Raw genomic sequence first — 23,203 nt, forward strand, 5'->3', positions numbered from 1 at the left:
TCCATCTCGAATCGATACCCCCTTGGAAAATGTGGCCACTTACCAGATCCTGATCTTCCCCATATGCAATCCTCATGGCCAGTGATTTGCCGAAGCAAGATAACCAGTCCTCAGGCTCCACTCTTTCCTTTCTTTCAACATATTGGCATTGCACCATGACCAGAAAATCTCCTCTCCTAAATCTCCACACAACTCCATAGCCATCCACATACTAGATGCCACAATTTGGATTCTCATAACCCGAATCCCTCCCCAGCACACCACAACTGTATGTCTAGTTGCCTGCTCAGAACCTCTACTCAGGGGCCCCTGGACCGTCAGACTCAACATGGCCAAAACCTAACTTCTGATACTTCTGATACTGCCACTTAAAATCTCCCCTACAACCAACTATTCCATCTCAATTGGTGGCACATCTGTCCTTTCCAGCTGCTAAGCCAAAAACCTGGGGTCACCTAACCTCCTTGTCCTTCTTACCCTTCATGTTAGAAAATCTGGTCAGCTTGACTTAAAAAATAGATGCAGAATCTAATCACTGCTTCCATATCCATTTTGGTTTAGCGAACACCACTTACCTGGACTATTGCAGTAGCCTATTACTTGGTCACTCTGCTCCCACCGTATGCCTCTACAGCCTGCTCTCCTCTCTGCAGCCAGAGGGACCCTGTTAGGATCTCAGTAAGATCACCTCTCTGCTCTGTTCCCAACCTTCAGGGCTCCCAGAACATTCAGAAGAGAGACCCACTCCTCACTCAGGCATTCCAGGGCTGCCTTCTGCCCCCTGCTCTCTGGTAACATCAGTGACTCCCCAGTGATGATGGAAAGGGGAAAAGTCTCAGGGAAATATTATCCTTTGTATCTCAGTGCCAAGAACTTGAGAGTGGAGGTCTGAGCAGCTGAGGACCTAAAGGCCCTTCCACTTACCTGCACTGGATCCATCAATGCCACCATATCCAGTGAGCAACATGAACAGGGTGGGAATGTGAGAAGCGGGAGACTGGGGCAGGTCTGATGGGCTCAACCTGCTCTTCAATTTGGTCTGTGCTGTGGGGGGTGTGCCCTTGTCAGTAAAACATTGGAACAATATTTCCCAGGGCCAACTGGAATGCTGTTTGGCCATTGTCATGGAGAAACAGATACAGGTCACAACTATATTACCCAGTTATAGTTGGGTGCTCCAACTTGGGTGCTCCAAGCCTCAGACTCCACCAGTATAAAATACACGTAAGGCCCAAGATATCATGGGATGGAGTGAGGGTGCAGTGGCTCTGGAGGATCCTGGCAGAACCCCCATTTCAGGAGGATCATAGCTAATGCAAAGGGGTGGAGGTAGGTCCTAACCTCTGCACAGTCCTTCCCTGCTCAGTGCTGACAAAGATCTTCTCAACCAAACTCTAATCAGGCTCCTTTGAACTCTCTCCTCACCTAGGCCCTGATTTGGATTTCCATGTTGTCTCTACATTGTCCATTTTTAGCAAGAATCCTGCTAAGTCAGCTTACCAGAATCCCCCCTTACCTCTGACATTTCCTCTTAGTGCTTTTCCATTTATTGACCCCTCCACACCATTCCTTGGGTATGAATCCCCACTTGTTCTTGCTGCAGTTGGAGTTGAGCCCAATCTCTCTCCCACCCTAGAACACCCCGCTGCAGTGGTCCCTACATCTCTCGCAAGAGTCCCGCTGAATCAAGTCTGCCTTACTATTCTTTAACAAGCGTCATGATTTTTTTAACACCTGGGAATTGACTTGGCCCCTGTGGAGTAACCCAGCACCACCAACTAAACATTCACAATGGTGTCTTGCAAAGCCCACAGCGCCTATGTGGGGTACAGGAAGTGCCCCTTTCCTGGGTGGAGGCACAGAGACTTGTCTGGGTAATATAGTTGTGACCTGTATCTGTTTCTCCATGACAATGGCCAAACAGCATTCCAGTTGGCCCTGGGAAATATTGTTCCAATGTCTTACTGACAAGGCAGGGCTTTTCTTCCTCCTAAAGGAGCCACATCTAGATTTCTGTGGCCACCCAAGCTGATGCTCCACCCTCAGAGGTTGCTAATAGGAGACTCATTCCTTGACCTTCCTGCCTCTGAGGCCCTAGGTGCATCTCTTCAGTTCTAGGCACTCAATAACCTACATTCAAAATGAAAAATGAAGAAAATACCATGCTTTTAGGGTCTTTGTGTACTAACATTAAAGACTGTTCTAATCCAGTAGTTCCCAAACCTTTAACATTGGGACCACCTGATAATTTTTTAAAAATGCATGCTCCCTGGCCCCACCAAAACCTAGTGAATCAGAAACTGTGGGGCTGGGGCCCAGAGGGGAATTTTGATCCTGGCTGCAGTTTGAGAAAGGGAATGCTCATTAAAATCCAGTGAATAAAATAGGTAAAATAACACCACATACCTCATGGGAAGTAATAGAGCTTTGCACAGGACCTGGCACAAAGTCAGTACTCATGAAATGCATTACGGCTATTTTTATCATCATCATCATCATCATCATCATCATCATCATCATCATCATCATCACAAGACACTCACATACAATGGCTGTGAGGGGGCAAACGAAATGTCCCTTTTGCTGGGTCATTTGGGATATCTGTCAAAATATAAAACATCACTCAAATGCATCAAGCAGCCTCAGAGTTAATCACTGAAAGTTTTACAAGATAGTACACCTTTGAATAACACTATTTGGCTCCTTTAAAAGAATTTATTTTTAAAAATAGATCATGCAGGAGGGTTTCATAAACTGTAGGATGAATTCTTATAGGCCACAGGATTCAACGCTTGAGAACATCACAGCTAATTGCCCTCTGGCCAAAGTGGAGAGTGGAGTTGACACAATTTCAAGTATGTGATGGCAGATGACAAGTCATTGTTAATCTCTAATACTCAGGGAATTCACCTCCCTCCAGCCTCTAGGTGCAAATATTTGACTATGAAATGGCACAGCCTGATGTTTACTGACAGAATTATCAGGTACTGCTCTCATCAAGACTTCAACAGCCCATTACTTGAACCTGCAGTCCTCAAGTGAATACCAAATTAATTAAGTCTTAGGAAAGCCACATATCCAGGAAGAGAAAGGGGATTCCTAAGCACCTACTCAGTTTCTAGCACAACCCATCAATTTGGCCACCAGATACATACTCATTACAGTCGGCCCTCTGTATCCACAGGTTCTGCATCCATGGATTCAACCAACTGTGGATTAAAAATACTTGGAAAAAATGGTTGCCTTTGTACTGAATAAGTATACGCCTTTTTTTCTTATTATTCCCTGAACAATACAGCATCACAACTATTTACACAGCACTTACATTGTATTGGGTATTGTAAGTAATCTAGAGATGAGTTAAAATATATGGGAGGAGTCTATGTGTAGGCTATATGCAAATTCTATGGCATTTTATATTAGGGACTTGAGCATCTGTGGATGCAGTATCTGTGCAGGATCCTGGAACCAATGTCCCATGGATCCCAAAGGGCGACTGTGTATGATTTCTCCTCCACACTCAATACTCTTACTTCCTCTTTTCTGTGACAATCCCATCCAGTCACTGTCTCCATCTCAGTGTTAGAATTTCGGTTCATATCCTAACCTAAGATCTGAAGGCTATGATCAAAATGGTAAGATATTTGTCACCACTCACTCCCAAAATATAATTGTGACTCAGGGACACAGTGAAAGGGACCAATTCAAACTGCTGAAGAAGTAACTGCTAACCAAAATTTCTACACATAGCAAAAGTGTTTTTGAAGAAACAGCATAAAGCAAAATGACTTCAGAGCAAAAATAAGAAATTTAATGGAAAATTAACCTGCATAAAATGAAATTCTTAAAGAAAATTCTATTTAAGGATGACAAAAAGTGATACCAGGTGAAAGATCTGTGATGAGAGAAGAAATGTGGATCCAGAGAGAAGGCACATCTGTGGATTAAAAAAATACTCATTATCTGTAGAAAACGTGACAAATATTCCACTGTGAAGTTAAAAAGATGGAATTATCATGTATAGCCTCGATAACATATATACTGAGATGGGATAAAATGATTAATATTCTAAGACTCTTTTTAAAAGTATTAACAGATAAAATTGTATATATTTGCCATGTGCAACATGATGTTTTAACATGTATAGACATTAGAATGACTAATCTAGCTAATTAATATATTCCTACCTCACACAGTTATCATTTTGTAATGAGAACACTTTACACCCACCCTCTTAGCATTTTTTAAGAAGACTATATATTATTAACTATATTCACCATGTTGTATAATAGATTTCTTGACAGTATTCCTGCTAACTGAAATTTTGTATCCTTTGAGCAACTTTTCCACAAAGCTCCCATCCCCTAGTGACCATTCTACCCTTTACTCCTATGACTTTTTTAGATTCCTTATATGAGATCAGGTAAAATTTGCTTTTCTGTGCCTGGCTTATTTCACTTAACACAGTGTCCTCTAGGCTCATCAATATGTGCCACATTTTCTTTACCCAATCATATCTCGATGAACAGTTAGGTTGTTCCCATAGCTTAGCTTTCATGAATAACATTGCAATGAACATCAGATTGCAGCTATGTCTAATGGGTTAATTTAATTTCCTTTGTGTCTATGTCCAGAAGAGGGACTACTGGATCACATGGTAATTCTATGTTTACTTTTTTGAGAAACTTCCATACTGTTTTCCATAACCGCTTTACTAATTTACATTACCACCAACAGTATGGAAGTGTTCCCTCTTATCCACCTCCTCGCCAACACGTGCTCTTTTCTCTTTTTGATAACAGCCATTCTAACAGAGGTGAGGTGATGTCTCATTGTAATTTTTATCTGCATTTCCCTAATTATTAGTGGTGTTGAGCATTTTTTCATATAGTTATTGGTCATTTGTATGTCTTCTTTAGATGCTAAATGTCTATTCAGGTCCTTCCCACATTTTTAATTGAGTTATTTGTTTTCTTGCTATTGTTTCAGTTCATTATATATTTTGGATATTAACTCCTTATCAAATGTATAGCTTGAAAATATTCTCTCTCGATCTGTAGGTTGTCTCTTCACTCTGTTGACTGTTTCCTATGCTGTGCAAAACCTTTTTAGTTTGATGTGGTCCCATTTGACTATTTTTGCTTTTGTTGCTTGTACTTTGGGGGTCATATCCAAAAAGTCGTGGCTCAGATCAAAGTCATGGAGCATGTCCTCTACATTTTCTTCTAGTAGTTTCACAGTTTTGTGTCTTATATTTAAGTCTTTAGTTCATTTTAAGTTTATTTTTGTATATGTTGTGAGATAAGGGTCTAAGTTCATCCCTCTGCATGTGAATAGCCATGTTTTCCAACACCATTTATTGAAGAGACTGTCCTTTTCCCATGGTGTGTTTTCAGTGCCTTTGTTAAAAATCAATTGGCTCTAAATGTGTGGGGTTTATCTCTGAGCTCTCTATTCAATTAACGATAGCTTGTCACAAAAGGCTTTCTGACATGCTTTACATTCAAAGGACTTTCCTCCAGTGTCCTATGATGTACCCGCACTGTCATGATCATTGTAGCATTATTCACAAGCATCAACCTAAGTGTCTGTCAATGGATGAATGAACACAGGAAGTACAAAGAATGAATGAATACAGGAAAAAATGAATACAAAGTGAAATGAATACAGAAAGACAATGAAATATTAATCAGCCTTAAAAAAGGGGGGAAATTCTGTCATTTGAAACAACATAGATGACCCTGGAGAATATTACACCAATTGAAATAAGTTAAGCACAGAAAGACAAACACTGTGTGATCTCATTTATATGTGGAATCAAGAGAAATTGAACTCATAGAAGTAGAGAGCGGAAGGCCTGGGGGGAGGAGGAGAGGAAGATTAGGGAAAGATGTTGATCAATGGTGCAAAATTTCAGTTAGACAGGAGGAATACATTTTAGTAATCTATTGCACAGAACTGTGACTATAACAAACAATGTACTGTATATCTTAAAATTGCTAAAATAGTAGATTTTAAATTTACTACAAAAATTTATATTATATATGAGGTGATAGATTTAATTAGCTTGATGTAATCCATCCACATTGTAAATATGTATCAAAATATTATGCTGTACCCCCATAAATTCATATTATTTGTCAATTAAAAATAAAATTAAAAATAAAGAAGTTGGAGATAAAAAAGAAATGTGTTATTATTATTCATTGCAGTTAATGTTATTACATGCACAATACCAATACAAATAGCTAAGTCTTTTAGAGCCACTGTGTTTCAGGCATTACCTTATACAGTTCCATATATTATCTAACTATACCATCAGACAATCCAATGAGATGAAAAGTATTGAAAAGTCTTATTACCACCATTTACTAAATGTAGGCTAAGTGTACAGAATGAGATAGATGTTGACCAAACCCATTTTCTCTCCTCTTTGGGTACACAGCTATACCACCTCCTGGCTCTGAGAATCCAGGTGCAGCCAAATACCCAGTTTTTGTCAACAGAGTGGCAACAGCAATGTATGGGTGCAAGTGGGCATGACTTCTCTTTCTCATTTTTCCTCTGCTGACAGATAATGCCAAGAAAGCTTTAAATTGAGCCACATGTTGACAATAGAATGTTTCTTATTCCCTGAATAACTGTGTGGTGCAGAGCTCCTTGCTAACCTGTGTGGACCTGTGTGGATCTTGAATGAGGAAAAGAAAAAGACAAAAGCCAAAAACTCTCCTTGTGCTGGGCTGCTGATATTGTAAAGTGTTTCTGTGTTACAATAGCCAGCATTAACTTAGCCAGCTTTTACACTGATGAAATCATGCAACATCTCACAAGGCTGGAGAGTGGCAATGTCAAGTATTAAGCCCAAAGACATGGAACTTAGAGTTTGATTTTAACCTAATACAACCTACTTCTCCCCCAGTAGCAGGGAAGTGTATAAGGGGGTAAGAGGATGGTCAAAGGACTGTATGGATCCCAAGTCCCCAGGGAGGTCACAACAAGAGGCTTCCCCCTTCCCAAAAAGAGGTCCCCAATTGATCTACGGAGTTCAGGGACTCCCACCTGCCCAGCTCTTGGTCACCTACCTGGACAGGAACTTTATGAGAGGCCTCTCTTCACCACACAATAATCTTGCTCATTTTCCATCAGGTAGCTCAGTTCCAATTTTGGAAGAAGATACCCTGATCATGGAGAAATAGGACAGCAATATTTGGGTAAAGATAAGAATGACGCTCTGTATTCAGTATGGTGTTCAAGACAAGAGGAGGAGCCCAGAATGAGGCTGCTCCCTTCCATGCAAAGAAAATGTTGACCTGTAACCTGGAAACCAACAGCACAAAAACTATCCTTGAGCCAAGAGTCTATAGAGGGTTGTGATGACCATCAATGTAACATTCATCCCCCTCAATCTCCATCCTACAGAATCCAACACTGTTCATGGGCAAGCCCTTCCCCCTTTAAATACAGCCATGGGACCCTGGGAAAGTGACATTTCATAACAGAAACTATTTTCTAATTAACTTAAGTCAGTGGGTCTCAACCTCCCTGAACAAAAGAACCACCTGGGGATGCCTTGATTATGGGCCAAATGGAACAAAATCCCGGGATGAAGCATGGACATGAGCAGCTTTAAAAGTTCTCCAGGTGCTCAGGGAGGATTGAAAAGTGTGGGTCTAAATTGACTGATGCCTGACTTTCTGCTCTGTTTCTATGTTTTTGGAAAATGTTGGGAGTTCTGCTATTTTGGAGCTATGATTTTTGAGGGTGCAAGTGAGGTAAAGGGAATCTGTATAAACCAAGGAACAACTGCATCAACAATCTCAAGACTGAAATTAATCCTTGTGAGGGGCCAGGTGCGGTGGCTCACGCCTGTAATCCCAGCACTTTGGGAGGCCAAAGTGGGCAGATCACGAGGTCAGGAGATCGAGACCATCCTGGCTAACACGGTGAAAACCCGTCTCTACTAAAAATACAAAAAATTAGCTGGGCGTGGTGGCGGGTGCCTGTAGTCCCAGCTACTCGGGAGGCTGAGGCAGGAGAATGGCATGAACCCAGGAGACGGAGCTTACCGTGAGCGGAGATCGCACCACTGCACTCCAGCCTGGATGACAGAGCAAGACTCTGTCTCAAAAAAAAAAAAAGATATTAATCCTCGTGCTATGAATCTCACAAACAGGATACCAAGCGAAAGACCCTGGACAAAAAGCCATGCATGCCATGTGAATCCATACACATAACCTTCAAGAAGAAGCCAATCCAATGTATGGGGATGGAAGTCAGCACAGTGACGCCTTTTGGGGGAACTGACTGGGAGATGCAGGGGGAGCCTGCTGGGGATTCAGAATGCCTGATAGCTCGATCTAGTGGAAGTTACTGTAAGTGGGGACACAGATTAAATATGAATTGAAATGAACACTTAGGACTGAACATTTTGCTGAGGTATGCCTTATGGTATACCTCAAATTAACAAGCATATTAAAACAATAAGTCATGCTCAAAAATGTTATTGTTCTCTTTGGGCAGCAGCTTCCTAGAGGGAAGCCAATTGGGTCTAGAGTCAGCAGCTTTGGGGAAAAGCCCACACTTCACCAGGGATGTTGTGAGGGCTAATCAGTGGAGCAGGGAGAGTGCCTGGAACAGGGCCTGGCATAGGGTCAGTGGTCAGGGGACGTTGGCTGTGACCATTAGTATAAACCACTATTCTTTAAGTTGACACACATTTTGTTTACTTGAATTGGTTTCTTCATAAAGGGAATCTTGTATTGCTTATAAATGGGAAAACTAGTTTCACTTTTCACAAATCAGTTTCCATCAAAATACAACAATGAAATAAAAATAATGCTGTAAGTTCTGGTAAGCTTATGTGGCCCACCCTGTGCTTCTGATGTAGGTGAACCCCAGAATTGGGGCTTGGCCCAGGAGGGTTCTTGGTTTTGTGCTGGAAAGAATTCAAGAGCAAGCTGACAGAGCAAAGTGAAAGCAAGTTTATTAGAGCTACAGAGGGCAGGAAAATGGCTGCTCTGTAGCAGAGTAGTAGCAGAAGCCCTCGTGGATTGCTGGCTAGCTATATTTATGGCTATTCCTGCATTATATGCTAAATAAGAGGTGGGTTATTCATGAGTTTTCTGAAAAAGGGGTGGAGGTTCCAGTAACTGAGGGTTCCTCCCTTTTTAAAATCGTATGTATTAGTCAGTTTTCACGCTGCAGATAAAGACATCTCCAAGACTGGGCAATTTACAAAAGAAAGAGGCTTATTGGACTTACAGTTCCACATGGCTAGGGAGGCCTGACAATCATGGCAGAAGGCAAGGAGGGGAAAGTCACATCTCATGTGGATGGCAGCAGGCAAAATGAGAGCTTGTGCTGAGAAACTCCCATTTTTAAAACCATCAGGTCTCGTGAGACCCATTCACTATCACAAGGACAGCATGGGAAAGACCCCTCCCCGCTGCCCCACGATTCAGTCATCTCTTACTGGGTCCCTCCCACAACATGTGGGAATTATAGGAGCTACACGATGAGATTTGGGTGGGGACACAGAGACAAACCATATTACTGTATAAGGTGGCTTCTGGGAGTTGCATGGCATTTGTAAACTGTCACGGCACTGGTGGGAGTTTCTTTTAGTATGTTAATGAGTTATAATTAATGTACAATGAGCAACGAGGGCAACATCTTGGTTTTAGCTGGTTTTGGCCAGTTTCTTTGCTACATCCTGTTTTGCTTAGATACTGTTTTGATCAGCGGGGCCTTGTGACTGGTGCTCAGAAAACAAGTCCCACTGATCTTCGACCTCATTCCCCCCTCAGAGATTATATACTCCTCCTTAATCTTTTTTTTTCTTTTTTTTTTTTGAGACAGAGTCTTGCTCTGTCACCCAGGCTGGAATGCAGTGGTGCAATCTTGGCTCACTGCAACCTCCACCTCCCAGGTTGAAGCAATCCTCCCACCTCAGCCTTCCAAGTAGCTAGGATTACAAGCATGCATCACTATGTTTGGCTAATTTTTCTATTTTTAGTAGAGACAGCGTTTCACCATGTTGGCCAGGTTGGTCTCAAATTCCTGACCTTAAGTGAGCCACTGGCCTCAGCCTCCCAAAGTGCTAGGATTACAAGGGTCAATCACCATGCCTGGCCCTCCTTCTTAATCTTAAGGGGTTGTAGAAGGGTAGAGGTCCATCTTCTGCAACTGCTTCTTGCTGATCTTATGGGCATAGGTCCTGCCTAGCTTTGAAGGAGTAAAAATCTCTGAATACCTGATATAAGGGGCCCAAAGCAGGATGTCTTTATTTTCTGGGTCAGAAGATGGGATGGGTTGGAAGCCTTGTGACATCTTCACATGGAATTTATGTAATCTAGAAGACACAGACTTTACTAAGAGGTTAAACAAGCAAGGGCCAAAGATCAGTGGTAACAGAGCTATTAAAGGCCATAGTAAGAGTAAAAACCATGTCGTACTTGGTAGGTATCCTTTGATGGAGTCTCAGATGGTTTGACTGGTGGGGTTAGTAAAATTATGTAGCCAGGTGGCCTGCTAGTAAATCTTTATTTTTCTTTTTTGAGACAAGGTCTCACTCTGTGACCCAAGCTGGAGTGTAGTGGCATGATCATGCTCACTGCTGCCTCGATCTCTCAGGCTCAAGCAACCCTCCTGCCTCAGCCTTCCAAGTAGCTGGGACCACAGGCGCACACTACCCTGCCCAGCTATTTTTTTAAATTTATTTTTCATAGAGACACAGTCTCACTGTATTGCTCAGGCTGGTCTCAAACTCCTAGGCTCAGGTGATCCTCCTACCTTGGCCTCCCAAAGTACTGGGATTACAGATGTGAGCCACTGTGCTTGGCCTTGGCAGATATTTTGAACTTGCAGTTCAATTATCCCTGAATTGTTAACATAAGAACAACAGGTATGACTTACTACCACACATACTCCTCATTGTTCAGCCAGAAGATAGTCTAGAGCCAATCTGCTGTCTAAGGCAACATTGGCTAGGGAGTACAGGGAGGCCTGGAGTCCACTTACGGCTTTTCCTATACTTCCTGCCTGTGTTTCAAGGGTTTGAGTACTTATCTGTGCATTTTCTTTTCTTTTTCTTTTTCTTTTTGAGATGGAGCTTTGCTCTTGTTGCCCAGGCTGGAGTGCAATGGCACAATCTCAGCTCACCGCAACCTCTGCCTCCCAGGTTCAAGCGATTCTCCTGTCTCAGCCTCCCAAGTAGCTGAGATTACAAGCATGTGCCACCACGCCCAGCTAATTTTGTATTTTTAGTAGAGATGGGGTTTCTCCATGTTGGTCAGGCTGGTCTCGAACTCCCGACCTCAGGTGATCCGCCCGCCTCAGCCTCCCAAAGTGCTGGTTTTACAGGCGTGAGCCACCACACCTGGCAATCTGTGAATTTTCAAAACAATAGCTTTAAGTCTTCTAGGGTTTCACAGTGTAGCTCTTGGTGTCCTCCTCTTGTGCCTGAGGGGACTCATAAGAAACAGGTTTATTTAATCCTGGACAGGTATACCCAACTAGTGATTCTGTGAAGTTTAATAGCAGTGGGGGTGTTCAACAATGCCTAATAGGAGCCCTTCAATTTTTTTTTTTTTTTGAGATGGAGTCTCTCTATTGCCCAAGATGGAGTGCAGAGGTGCAATCTTGACTCACTGCAACCTCCGCCTCCTGGGTTCAAGTGGTCCTCCTACCTCAGTCTTCCGAGAAGCTGGGATTACAGGCGCCTGCCACCATGCCTGGCTAATTTTTATATTTTTAGTAGAGACAGGGTTTCACCATGTTGGCCAGGCTAGTCTCAAACTCCTGATCTCAAGCGATCTGCCTGCTTCAGCCTCCCAAAGTACTGAAATTACAGGTGTGAGCCACCATGCCCAGCCTTTCCAAGTTTTTAAGAGGGCTAAATATCCTGGGTGAACAGGGGAGCCATTCTTTTCCTCTGTGGGAAAGGGCAATGCTTTATTTCCATATTCTTGGAGAGCTTTTTGAACCTGGCCCAAGTTGATAGTATGAGTGAGCATTTTATGTCTCCTCATCAAACAGGAGGTCTGAAGTTAAAAAGGGCCTCCCATAGTTCATTTCAAATGGGCTAAGATTTAAGATTCCCTTTGGAACTATCTTTATGCACAAAACGGCTATGGGTAGGAGAGGCCCCCAGGGTCTCTGGACAAAGTTTTGCTGACGTCCTTTTAAAAACATGGTTGGCATATCTCCAAATGCTATCCCTCCCCCCTCCCTCCACCCCACAACAGGCCCCGGTGTGTGATGCTCCCCTTCCTGTGTCCGTGTGTTCTCATTGTTCAATTCCCACCTATGAGTGAGCACATGCAGTGTTTGGTTTTTTGTCCTTGCGATAGTTTGCTGAGAATGATGATTTCCAGCTTCATCCATGTCCCTACAAAGGACGTGAACTCATCATTTTTTATGGCTGCATAGTATTCCATGGTGTATAGGTGCCACATTTTCTTAATCCAGTCTATCATTGTTGGACATTTGGGTTGGTTCCAAGTCTTTGCTATTGTGAATAGTGCCGCAATAAACATACGTGTGCATGTGTCTTTACAGCAACATGATTTATAATCCTTTGGGTATATACCCAGTAGTGGGATTGCTGGGTCAAATGGTATTTCTATTTCTAGATCCCTGAGGAATCGCCACACTGACTTCCACAATGGTTGAACTAGTTTACAGTCCCACCAACAGTGTAAAAGTGTTCCTATTTCTCCACATCCTCTCCAGCACCTGTTGTTTCCTGACTTTTTAATGATTGCCATTCTAACTGGTGTGAGATGGTATCTCATTGTGGTTTTGATTTGCATTTCTCTGATGGCCAGTGATGATGAGCATTTTTTCATGTGTCTTTTGGCTGCATAAATGTCTTCTTTTGAGAAGTGTCTGGGAACATCTGTATGCAGAAGTACAGTATACAGAGATAAGAATTTACAATATAGTGTGTGCATCAGCAATTTCTAACAGAGCCTTAAAACAGAAACACAGTCTATCCATAACCTATATTTAGTAAGATACTAATCAGTAGTAATAATTGCAGCAAAAGCTGATTGCAAACAATCAATAGAAGCAGGATGTGAAACTAGACAACCAGTTAGACCACAAAATCTCAGAAGGGAGTATGTCTTAACCCTAAAGAGACCTAGAAGAGTCGTGGCAAGATAAGGGTGTTTATAGCCCTATCTTATCCGTATGAACAGGCGCCCCCATGCATCCATTTATAGGCTCTCCACAAGGGTCGCATTCCATTCCCAGAGCTATGAACATCTGCTTTTCTGGGATAGGAATCTTGGTGATGTGAAACCTCCCTGACTCCACGTCGGTTTATAGGCTCTCTGCAGGGGGAAACACATCATGTGCTGTTGGCTCATTCTGGCAGTCCCACCTGGCATTGTCTTTACACAATCCTGCATGCAATTTTGTATTTACAATAATCAGGAGCATTTCATCTTTTATTCCATAGCAATAGTTTCAGGGGGTCTCCCTACAATTGTATTAGATAAATGCGTTACAATCAAGATTTAGGCATCAGATGTGCTCATTGCTACTGGGGTACAATTTCTTTGAGGCCTTCTCAGCGACAGAGCAAAGAAATGTATGTGTATATACTAACCATGCATATGCCATCTGTATCTATATTAACTTAAACATGTATTCTTACTGATAATTCCAACTCTAATCTGGTACCACAGAGATCATTCTAGCATCCTCCCCTTGCTAATCTATAAATTCCTACTCCAACAGTGAAAACCTGGCTCCCACTGTCCAGCATCCATTTATTTAATAGTTCAATTCCAGTATACATGTATAGCAGTATCAGAATTGTTCATCTGTACCCTCATGTGAAAACTTTATCAACTAGTGTACACTGCATATTTGTAGTTCATTTTGCCTTTAGTCTTACAGACTCCATTCATTTCTAAAGTTACTTAGGTCAGCACCTTTCCCTCTACTCCCTCTGTGAAGTTGCCTCATACATTTGTAATACAGATAGATTTGCATGTTACAGCCTAAATTATTTTCTGGGATCCTTCAACCTCTGAATTTATTACATTAATTTGCATACATTAAGGTTCACTCTGTGTTGGACAGGTCTATGAGTTTTGACAAACGCAAACAGTATCATTGTAGCCTCATGGCCATAAAAATCCCTTGCATTTCACCCATTCAACCCTCCCCCAATCTCCTGGCAACTATTGATCTTCTTACTGTATCTGTAGTTTGTCTTTCCCAGAATGTCACATAATTGGAATCGTACTATACACAGCACTTTTTTTTTTGAGACAGGGTCTCATTCTGTCACCCAGGCTGGAGTTGCAGTGGCATGATCTCAGCTCACTGCAACCTCCACCTCCTGGACTCAAGTGATCCTCTGACCTCAACCTCCGGAGTAGCTGGGACCACAGGCATGCACCACCCCATCCTCCTAATTTTTGTATTTTTTGTAGAGACGGGGTTTTGCCGTGTTGCCCAGGCTGGTCTGGAACTCCATAGCTCAAGTGATCCTCTTGCTTCAGCCTCCCAAAGTGCTGAGTTTACTGGCGTGAACCACCATGCCCAGCCTCATACTATACATAGCATTTTCAGACTGACTTCTTTCACTTAGCAATATGTGTGTAAGAATTCTCTGTCTTTTGGTGTCTTGATAGCCCATTTGGTTTTATCACTGAATAATATTCCGTTGTGTGGATGTACAACTGGTTTTTGTTTCCTTTTTATCCATTCACATACAGAATGACATTTTGGTTGCTTTCAGTTTGGGGAAATTATGAAAAAAATTTGCAATAGTCATCCATATGAAAGTTTTTGTGTGAACTTAAGTTCAAAATATGAAGCCCTAACCCCAGTGTGACTATATTTGGAGAAAGGGCCTTTAAGGACCTAATTAATGTTAAATTAAATAATAAGTGTGGTGCTCTAACCTGCTAGGACTCATGTCCATATAAGAAAAGGAAGAGACACCAGAGATTGAGGCCTCCCCTTTTCCTTTCTCTTCCCTGTCTACCCCACAGAACCATGTGAAGTCACGGCAAGAAGGCAACTATATCTGCAAGCCAGAAAAAGAGGATAGAGGGCCAAGAGAACAGAGCTGCTGTTATCTACTGAACTGGGGGAGACACAATTCAGTTGGTAACAATGGCTACACCACTTTGCATTCCCAGCATCCTTTATAGAGTTCTTCCACTCTACATACTTGTCAGCATTTGGTATTGTCAGTTTTTAAGATTTTAGCCACTTTAATAGATGTGTAGGCTAATGTCTTGTTAATGTCTTCATTATATTCCCGAATGACATATGATGTGCATCTTTACATATTTATTTGCCCTGTGTATGTCTTCTCTGGTAAGGTATTTGTTCAGGTCTTTTGACCATTTTTCAGTTGGGTCGTTTTGTTTTCTCACTGTTGAGTTTTAAGTTGTTCACCTCACATATTTTGATGCTTTGTTATGTACATACACATTAAGGATTATTATATCTTCTTGGAGAATTGACCTCTTTATCATTATGTACTGCCCCTCTTTACCCCTGAAAGTTTCCTTGCTCTGAAGTCTGATATTAATATAGTTACTCCTGCTTTATTTTGATGAATGTTCACATGGCATATCTTTCTCCACCCCTTAACTTTTAACCTACCAGTATCTTTATATTTAAAGTGAATTTCTTGAAGATTGTTGGGTCTTATTTTTTATTCAATCTGACAGTTCAGATCTTTAATTTGTATTAAGTTTCTACTGACATATCTTCAAGCTCATTGATTCTTTTTTCCACTATGTCCAGTCTACTGATGAGCCCTTCGAAGGCATTCATTTGTGTTAACAATGTTTTTTATTTCTAGCATTTCCTTTGTTTTTTTTTTTTTTTTTTTCTTTTTTTGAGACGGAGTGTCGCTCTGTCACCCAGGCTGCAGTGCAGTGGCATGATCTCGGCTCACTGCAACCTCTGCCCCCCGGGTCCAAGCAATTCTCCTGCCTCAGCCTCCAGAGTAGCTGGGATTACAGGCGTGCACCACTACGCCCTACTAATTTTGTGCTTTTAGTAGAGACGGGGTTTCACCATGTTGGCCAGGCTGGTCTTGCACTCCTGACCTCAAGTGATCTGCCTGCCTGAGCCTCCCAAAGTGCTGGGATTACAGGCGTGAGACACCATGCGCCTGGCTTCTAGCATTTCCTTTTGATCTTCTCTTAGCAGTTCTACTTATATTACCCATCTGTTCTTAAATGTTGTTTACGTTTTTCCAATAGAGCCCTTGCTGTATATTCATCAGTTATTTTGACCCAATGTGTTTTTACTACTTTTATCAGTCCTTCCACCTCTGTGTGGTAAACATGAGCACCTTCTCCATATCACAGTCAGTGATCTGAGGAAGTTGTCCAGAGTATCTCAGTCTAGTGAGCAGGGGCAGGATTTGAATGCAGGTCTCTCTGGTCCATGGTTTATGTGGATAAACCTCATACTCTTCCACTATCACAGTAACAAGGATGTGAAGCATTTCTAATATCTGTTGCTCCTAAATTCATTTAATCCATCCCTGAAGATATTTCTGTGTACATGGACAGAGAATTTTCCATTTTTGCTGCATTAATAAGACCTTTCTCCAGCGTGAATTCTTTGTTGTTCAGTAAAACTGGAACTTTGGCTAAAGAATTTCCCATGTTCCCTGCACTAATAAGGTCTTTCTCCAGTGTGAATTCACTGGTGAGGAACAAGTCCATATTTGCAGCTGAAGGTTTTCCCACATTCACAGAACTCATAAGCCCTTTCCCCAATTTGGACTCTTTGGTGTTTGACAAGTAAGGGTTTGTATTTGATAGCTTTCACATATGTGATACACTCATAAAGCCCTTCTCCACTGTGGACTCTTTGGTGCTGAACAAGTGTGTGTTTGCAGTTTATGGCTTTCCTGAGTTCACTGCACTTCTCATCACTTTTTCACTGTAAATGGCTGCCCCACACTCAGTGGTGCTGTATGGCTTTTCCTGTTGTAAGTGGCCTGGTGCTGGAGAAGTCCTGAGTCAACCAGGAAGTACCTTCCAACCTTCTCAAAGGTAAAGGACTTATTTGGCACAAGAAATCTGCAGCCCTTCACGAAAAAGCTCCTATCTACATCCCTTCTGAAGGGTTTCTCTTTACTGAAAGGATCATTTTCCACATGCCCCTAAGTATACAGTTTCTTCCTGGGATATTTTCCCCTGTCCTCAGCAAAAGGCAAAATGTCTTTCAAGATTAAGACATACATATCACAGGGGTGGGCTTTCTGAGGAAAGGGCCTCAGGGGGCTCTGACCTGTGACAATTCTTTTACAGAAAATCTTGGCTGAGAAGATGCTTCCTCATCTTTCACTTCATGCCAATACCCTAAAAGCAAAGACATGCCAGTGAAGTGCACGTGGACTTTGGTGAGAAGGGGCACTGACATCACAAATGTGTATCTGCACACCAATGCATGAGTCTATGTGAGTTCACAGGACTGTTTTCAGGAGGAGAGAGTTTGGGTCAGACTGAGGAAGCAGCTGTTGTGAACTCATAGTTTTCAAAAAGTCACAGCATGGGAGAAGCCTCACCAGGCAAAGGACACAAGGATGAGGTGCAGCACAATGAGGAGGAGTGGGGTCTACAACTCCCTCCTCTGCCAATGGTTTTTGGTACTTGTATTTGCTGATGACACAAGAGGTGTGCAGAAAGGTATGTCCAGGCCCAAGAAAATCCAATGGCAAAAGAGTGGCTCACGTTCAGAGACTACTTAAGAATATGTGTGCATCTCACAACACAGTATGTGTGGGCCAGTGTTGGAGAACACTGTGAGAGGGAGTAGTGGACAGGAGTAGGTAAGATGTGCAATACAGAGAGTTGGGGATTAGCCCTGGGACAAAAGTCTGACTAGAAATGGCAAGCTGCTAGTGTCAAGAATGGGAGAAGAAAGGTAGAAATGAGGTGTGACCACTGGCATTGGCACCAAAATAGTAGTGGGAACAGGACTGGTTCATGGTATGATTTGAACACAGCCCTGATGTCATGCCCTCTCACCTGCCACTTAATAGGGCCAGGACCCCTCTGAGCCGCATGTCCCCACTAAGAAGCACCCATAGCTCTTCCCCCTGCTCCCAGCTGAGAATAGTACCTGGATAATGCAAGAACTAAAGGAAAAACTGAAGAAGGGAGGAGCCAGCACTGGCCCAGGGAAACTTGGAGCAACAGACTACAGGTAAGAAAACCAAATGTTACAAAAACAACCTCAGAGGAGGACATAAATAGTGACCATGTCGGTAACAGCAATTCCTGGTATAGGAAGACATGGGGATATATTAGCTAGAGGAAGGGGGCAGAACCTGGGGCGGAGAGGTCACCTGGCCAGGGAAAGGGAAAAGTGGGCTTATAAAGGCTGACGGCAAGACTCCTGATCCCCTTCCCAGTAAGCCTTTGGGGCAGCAGGTATTGAGGCTGCTTGGGAAGAGGATAGGACAGTGCAATGGCTCAGCCCCACCAACCAGTGAACCTACCCAGGAAACTGAGGAAGGAAGTAGAGTCCATTGTCCTAATGTGAGAAGGATGGATCTGTCCTTGGGGAAAAGGAAAGGCAGAATCTAGTCTAAAGTATCTGGGTGGGTGTGAGGGTCTCACCCATTGAGGCCATCAGTGAAAAGTTCTCAGCATCACACTGCAGTATAGGAGTTTCGGAACATCATCAAGGAGACTCCATTCCCTCCAGGAGAAGTGCATGGCCACTTCCTCAAAGGTCACATTACTCTGTTATGATAGGGACAGATGAAACCATGAAGAGCCTCTCTTGAGGACCCCCAGTACATCTTTCTATAAATCCACCCCATATTCATACTCCTTCCAAGATCCAAAACCCAGAGGATGTATCAGACCTTGGTGTCATTTGTGCCTACTCCCTCCTATCACCCATTAATCGCTGTGTCTGTGCTCAACAATAAGAAGCAGGTGGGCAGACAGACACCATTTAAGTTCCAGGCCTGCCACGCAGGGCCCCACCCCTTCTTGCCAAGAAATTACCAGGAAGTCCCTAGATGGTACCTTCCAAACACAACCAAACTTGGGCTCACTCTTCATCCTTAAGTCCCAAATACCAGAGCCCTAGGACACACTCCCTCTCCATGTGCACATCATTCTTTAGGCTATTCCTCTCTCATATCTCCAGATGTCATAGATATTGCTATCTTCCTATCCCAAACTATAGATCCCTCCCTAGCCTCCCCACATGCTACTCACCACATGGCATCAAGAACATGCCTGACAATTCAGACAGAATCTAGTACTTCCCCAAGACCTCCAATGGCTTTCACTGCCAAGGGCAACCCTTAATCCTGCTAAGAAAGCCTCACCTTCTGGCTGTTTCATCAGTCAATCTCAGCCATCCAGAACAACATGCAGGTTTTAGATACCTCCCCGCAAACTGCTGCCCTCCTAATGCCTCTAGCAGACAACCACATTTGCCCCTGTGCTAATCCACTATCCTGGCGAGTCCGTAGAGCTGTGAAGTAAAGGCCCTGTCCTTGGTGCCATCTTTCTTCAATTACTCCTATGCTTCTGTATCCACATGAATGTCTATTCTTCTCTTAGAAGCCCTGGCCTCCTGCCAGACCCTCTTTTCCCCAGACCCAACCTTCAGGCTCAGTTCTCTCCCTTCAGCTGTGCCTGTGATGCCCACCACACCCAACCAGGTGCCCAAGCAATAGATCCAGTCCTCGGCCCTCACTCTCCCCTTCTTGGCCAGCTGAAAGCTGAAGATCATGACCTGAAGATTTCTTCTTCTAAATGTGATGCACAGCTTCACCTCAAGTCTACAAAGTGGCCACCACCTTCTGGATGTCTCTATTCTGAATGACTCCCTAGAGTTCCAGACCTTTGTGTCTACCAGTCCACTTGATGTCTTCACTCAGTGTTCTCTGAAATATCTCACTCTTCACATGGCCAAAACAAAACTCCCATATACCCACTGAAAATTACTTTTACTACTAACTTCTCCTTCATTTCTGTGGAGTCTTAATTAGGCAAAAGGAATCAGGCTGGCAGGACGAGGAGAAACCGAAAAGAAAAAGCAGATAAGCTCCAAGTCTGCCTTTCTTCATGGTCCAGGACACACAGCCCTCCTGCACAAATAACTCACAATCTTCCTGTGCCCACCTATCACCAGACACCTGCATGCTAGCTCACTGCAACCATAGTGTTATCGGTATTGCACAAAACCCTCTTCAGCACACAGCATAAACACTATCCTATAAAATCTCAAGCAAGCCTTTGTTTCTTGGCAGTCAGCTTCTCTTCTGCTGATCCTGCCTATGGGCAACATATCTTCCTACTTTCTCTAATAAATCTGCCTTTATTTACCTACAATTGTCTTGGTAAGTACTTTTACTGCCACACCACTGGCCCAGACAGTCACTGCTCACCTATGACACTTCCTTCCAAAACTTTGGAGTAATCCCTAAGTGCTACCTTTTTTTTTTTTTTTTTTTGAGACGGAGTCTCACTCTGTTGCCAGGCTGGAGTGCAGTGGCACAATCTCAGCCTGCTGCAACCTCTGCCTCCCAGGTTCAAGCAATTCTCCTGCCTCAGCCTCCCGAGTAGCTGGGACTACAGGCACGTGCCACCACGCCCAGCTAATTTTTGTATGTTTAGTAGAGACGAAGTTTCACCATGTTGGCCAGGATGGTCTCAATCTCTTGACCTCGTGATCCACCCGCCTCGGCCTCCCAAAGTTCTAGGACTACAGGCATGAGCCACCGTGCCCAGCTGCTACCTTTTTTTCTCTCACCCTCAACATTAGAAAATCCAGCATTCAGCCCTATTTTTAAAAAAGGTCTGGAATCCAGCCACTTTCTCCATTTCCAGATACCACCAACACTTACTTAGATTATTGCAGTAGCCCCATCCATGATCTTCCTGCCTCCTCCCTCACTCTCAAAATTTGTTCAGTCTGCAGCCAGAGGGAGCCTATTAAGACCTGAGTCATGTCACCTCATTGCTCCTATGCCATTGCTCCCATCAACTCCAGAAACCACCCAACTTCTCAGACTGCCATTCCAGATCTGACCCCTACTCTCCTGCTAGCAAGAAAGAGAGGAGATCTGTGATTCTCTGAACACTCCCTTCTAAGCCTTACCTTCAAGCATTTGGAGATGGTGGTACCTGTGCTTAGGATAACCTTCCACACCTCATCCTATTGGTTGCTAGATATACATAGGAACTATTATATATACTACCTCTGGCCGAGGACCCTGGGCTTGGGGTTTCTCAAGCAACCCCAGTCTCAAGGGCTAGAAGAGTCACACACAGGCTGAGTCCCAAGGCACCACAATCCTATAGCCACGTGGATGGAAGGTTGGGACCAGTGAGGGCTCACTCACCTGTGTATGATCCATAAGCACTTTTGTGGCCACAGGAACCTGTGGGAAGAGGTAGACCTTGAGAAGCAGGCAACTATGGGAGGACTCCATGGGCTTAGGCCTCTCTTGAACATCTGCCCAGTGGTGGAAACAGGTGACCTTGGACTGACTGTACAATCTCTATATTTCAGTCCTCAATAATGCCTTTTACCTGCTTTGTAACTTTGAACAAGTACTCAATCTCCCTGTACCTCACTGTCCAACTTGCACCTCATCCAGTCTTCTTCCTCCAAGCAGCTTTTGGGAAACTTTAAAACCTTAACTCAGACTGTGTTCCTCCTCAGTTCACAACCCTGCATGGCTCCAAGCACCATCAGAAAGTGAAACCGTGCCCCAGGGGTAGAGAATTTGTTAACTAGCAAAATTTCCTGAACTTGTTTTGCAGAACAGTAGAAAAGTAAATAGTTTCCCACAGTCCCCTCTGTTTGCAACAAAGTTGGCTGATGAGCTGAGACTGCTTGGGACCAATATGGCTGACTGGAGTCTGCACAGAATAGACTTATCAGATGAGTGACCTTTTGATGTTAGAGGGCTGAAAACACCTCCAGATCATGCTAACACCATTTCCTGAACATATGACCCATAAAGCAGCATGTAGGGGCAACAGTCCTTGCCCAAGGGACTCTCCAAACCGCTTTGTCTTCCAGCCAATCACTGTCCAGCCCAAAACCCCACCCTCAAAATCTCTCCCTCAAATCTATGGCGGCCAAGCTGGTACAAGGAGACAGACTGGCCTCCTGCCTCCTTGACTCTTAGTAAACCTTTATTGCTGCAAAAACCCAATGCTTTGGTGTTTGGGTTTCTGGTGTTTGACTTTCCTTTGTATATGGGCAAATGGGCCCAGTTTGGTTCTGTGACAAATGAAGGTACAACACCTTGTCACTGCAGGTGTGACTTCTCTTCACACTCTACTCTGTGTACACACAGCCCCCAGGCCAGCCCAGTTGTGCCTCCAAACCTTTGCACATGCTGATCCCTCAGTCTGTAACAATCTTCTGTGACTCACCACACTGGCTTTCAGAAACGGCTTCATCACCCATGAGCTCTCCCGCTTCCCCCAGCCTAAACACCAGGGCCTAGACTGAAGTGACCTGAACAGGTTCCCACAATGTGGGGCTTAAGATTTGAAAGTAGGAGTCCGGCGGGTGAGGGCCCAAGGGACGCACCACCAACTTGAAGCCACCGTGATGCGAGCCTGTGGGTGAATGGCTCCAGAAACTGCGGTGACTAGGATGGGGACAGCCACATGGCAGCCTCCAGCCCAGCACTGACACGAGATCACAATGGGTGGCACCCTAGCCTAGCGTCAGAGCCTCAGTCTTACCTCTGTGCAGTAGGGACAAGGCTTCCTGTTGCCTTCGCCTCCTTTTCCCTCAGACCTGACCCAGCCCTCTGTAGTTTCTGAACAGGTAAAACAGCTGCAAGGCAGCCAAAATGACCGCCACAAAGTGAGACAGGAAGTCCTGACCATCTTCACCCCTAAACCTGGAATCTCCCATCTTTCTGTGCTTTCATTGGATAAGCACTGCTGCCACTCAGCAGAGAATTCTGGGTAAGGGTCACATAGCTCTCACACCTCCACACAGTGAAGAGCTTTCCCTTGCAGCCACGCTGTCTTGAATAACCCTCATTCTCAGGCTCTGGGATGGGGAAGTAGCTACATCTCTGGACGTGTCCAGCAACGATCACCAAAGTTTTGAGACATTATTTCAGACTCTTGAAGCTCAGCATGTTCCCATGGGCCATATTTCTGATGTTCCCAGAGATTACAAATCCAAATGGAATGATCATTCC

The 23,203-nt window shown here is 43.7% G+C and overlaps 1 protein-coding gene and 1 pseudogene across 3 annotated transcripts in view; both read right to left on the reverse strand.

Annotated features, from left to right (window-relative positions):
• ZNF599 (zinc finger protein 599) overlaps nt 1-22,864 on the reverse strand; it is a 49,529-nt gene extending 26,665 nt beyond the window's left edge. The window contains exons 1-7 of one of the 3 annotated variants that reach the window (XM_047438255.1): nt 22,416-22,864; nt 21,371-21,409; nt 18,621-18,746; nt 10,253-10,351; nt 7,083-7,178; nt 3,884-3,937; nt 2,407-2,601 (exon numbers count right to left, since the gene is read on the reverse strand). The gene's annotated coding sequence lies outside the window, so the exon portion shown is untranslated. Of the gene's footprint in view, nt 1-2,406; nt 2,602-3,883; nt 3,938-7,082; nt 7,179-10,252; nt 10,352-18,620; nt 18,747-21,370 lie in introns of all 3 variants that reach the window. The other 2 variants (XM_047438256.1, XM_047438254.1) reach the window with 2 other exon arrangements.
• On the reverse strand, nt 16,558-17,358 carry LOC100419834 (zinc finger protein 134 pseudogene; annotated as a pseudogene).
• Nucleotides 22,865-23,203: the final 339 nt, after the last annotated feature.

This window comes from Homo sapiens, chromosome 19 (assembly GCF_000001405.40).
Source record: "Homo sapiens chromosome 19, GRCh38.p14 Primary Assembly".
Classification (NCBI taxonomy): Eukaryota; Metazoa; Chordata; class Mammalia; order Primates; family Hominidae; genus Homo; species Homo sapiens.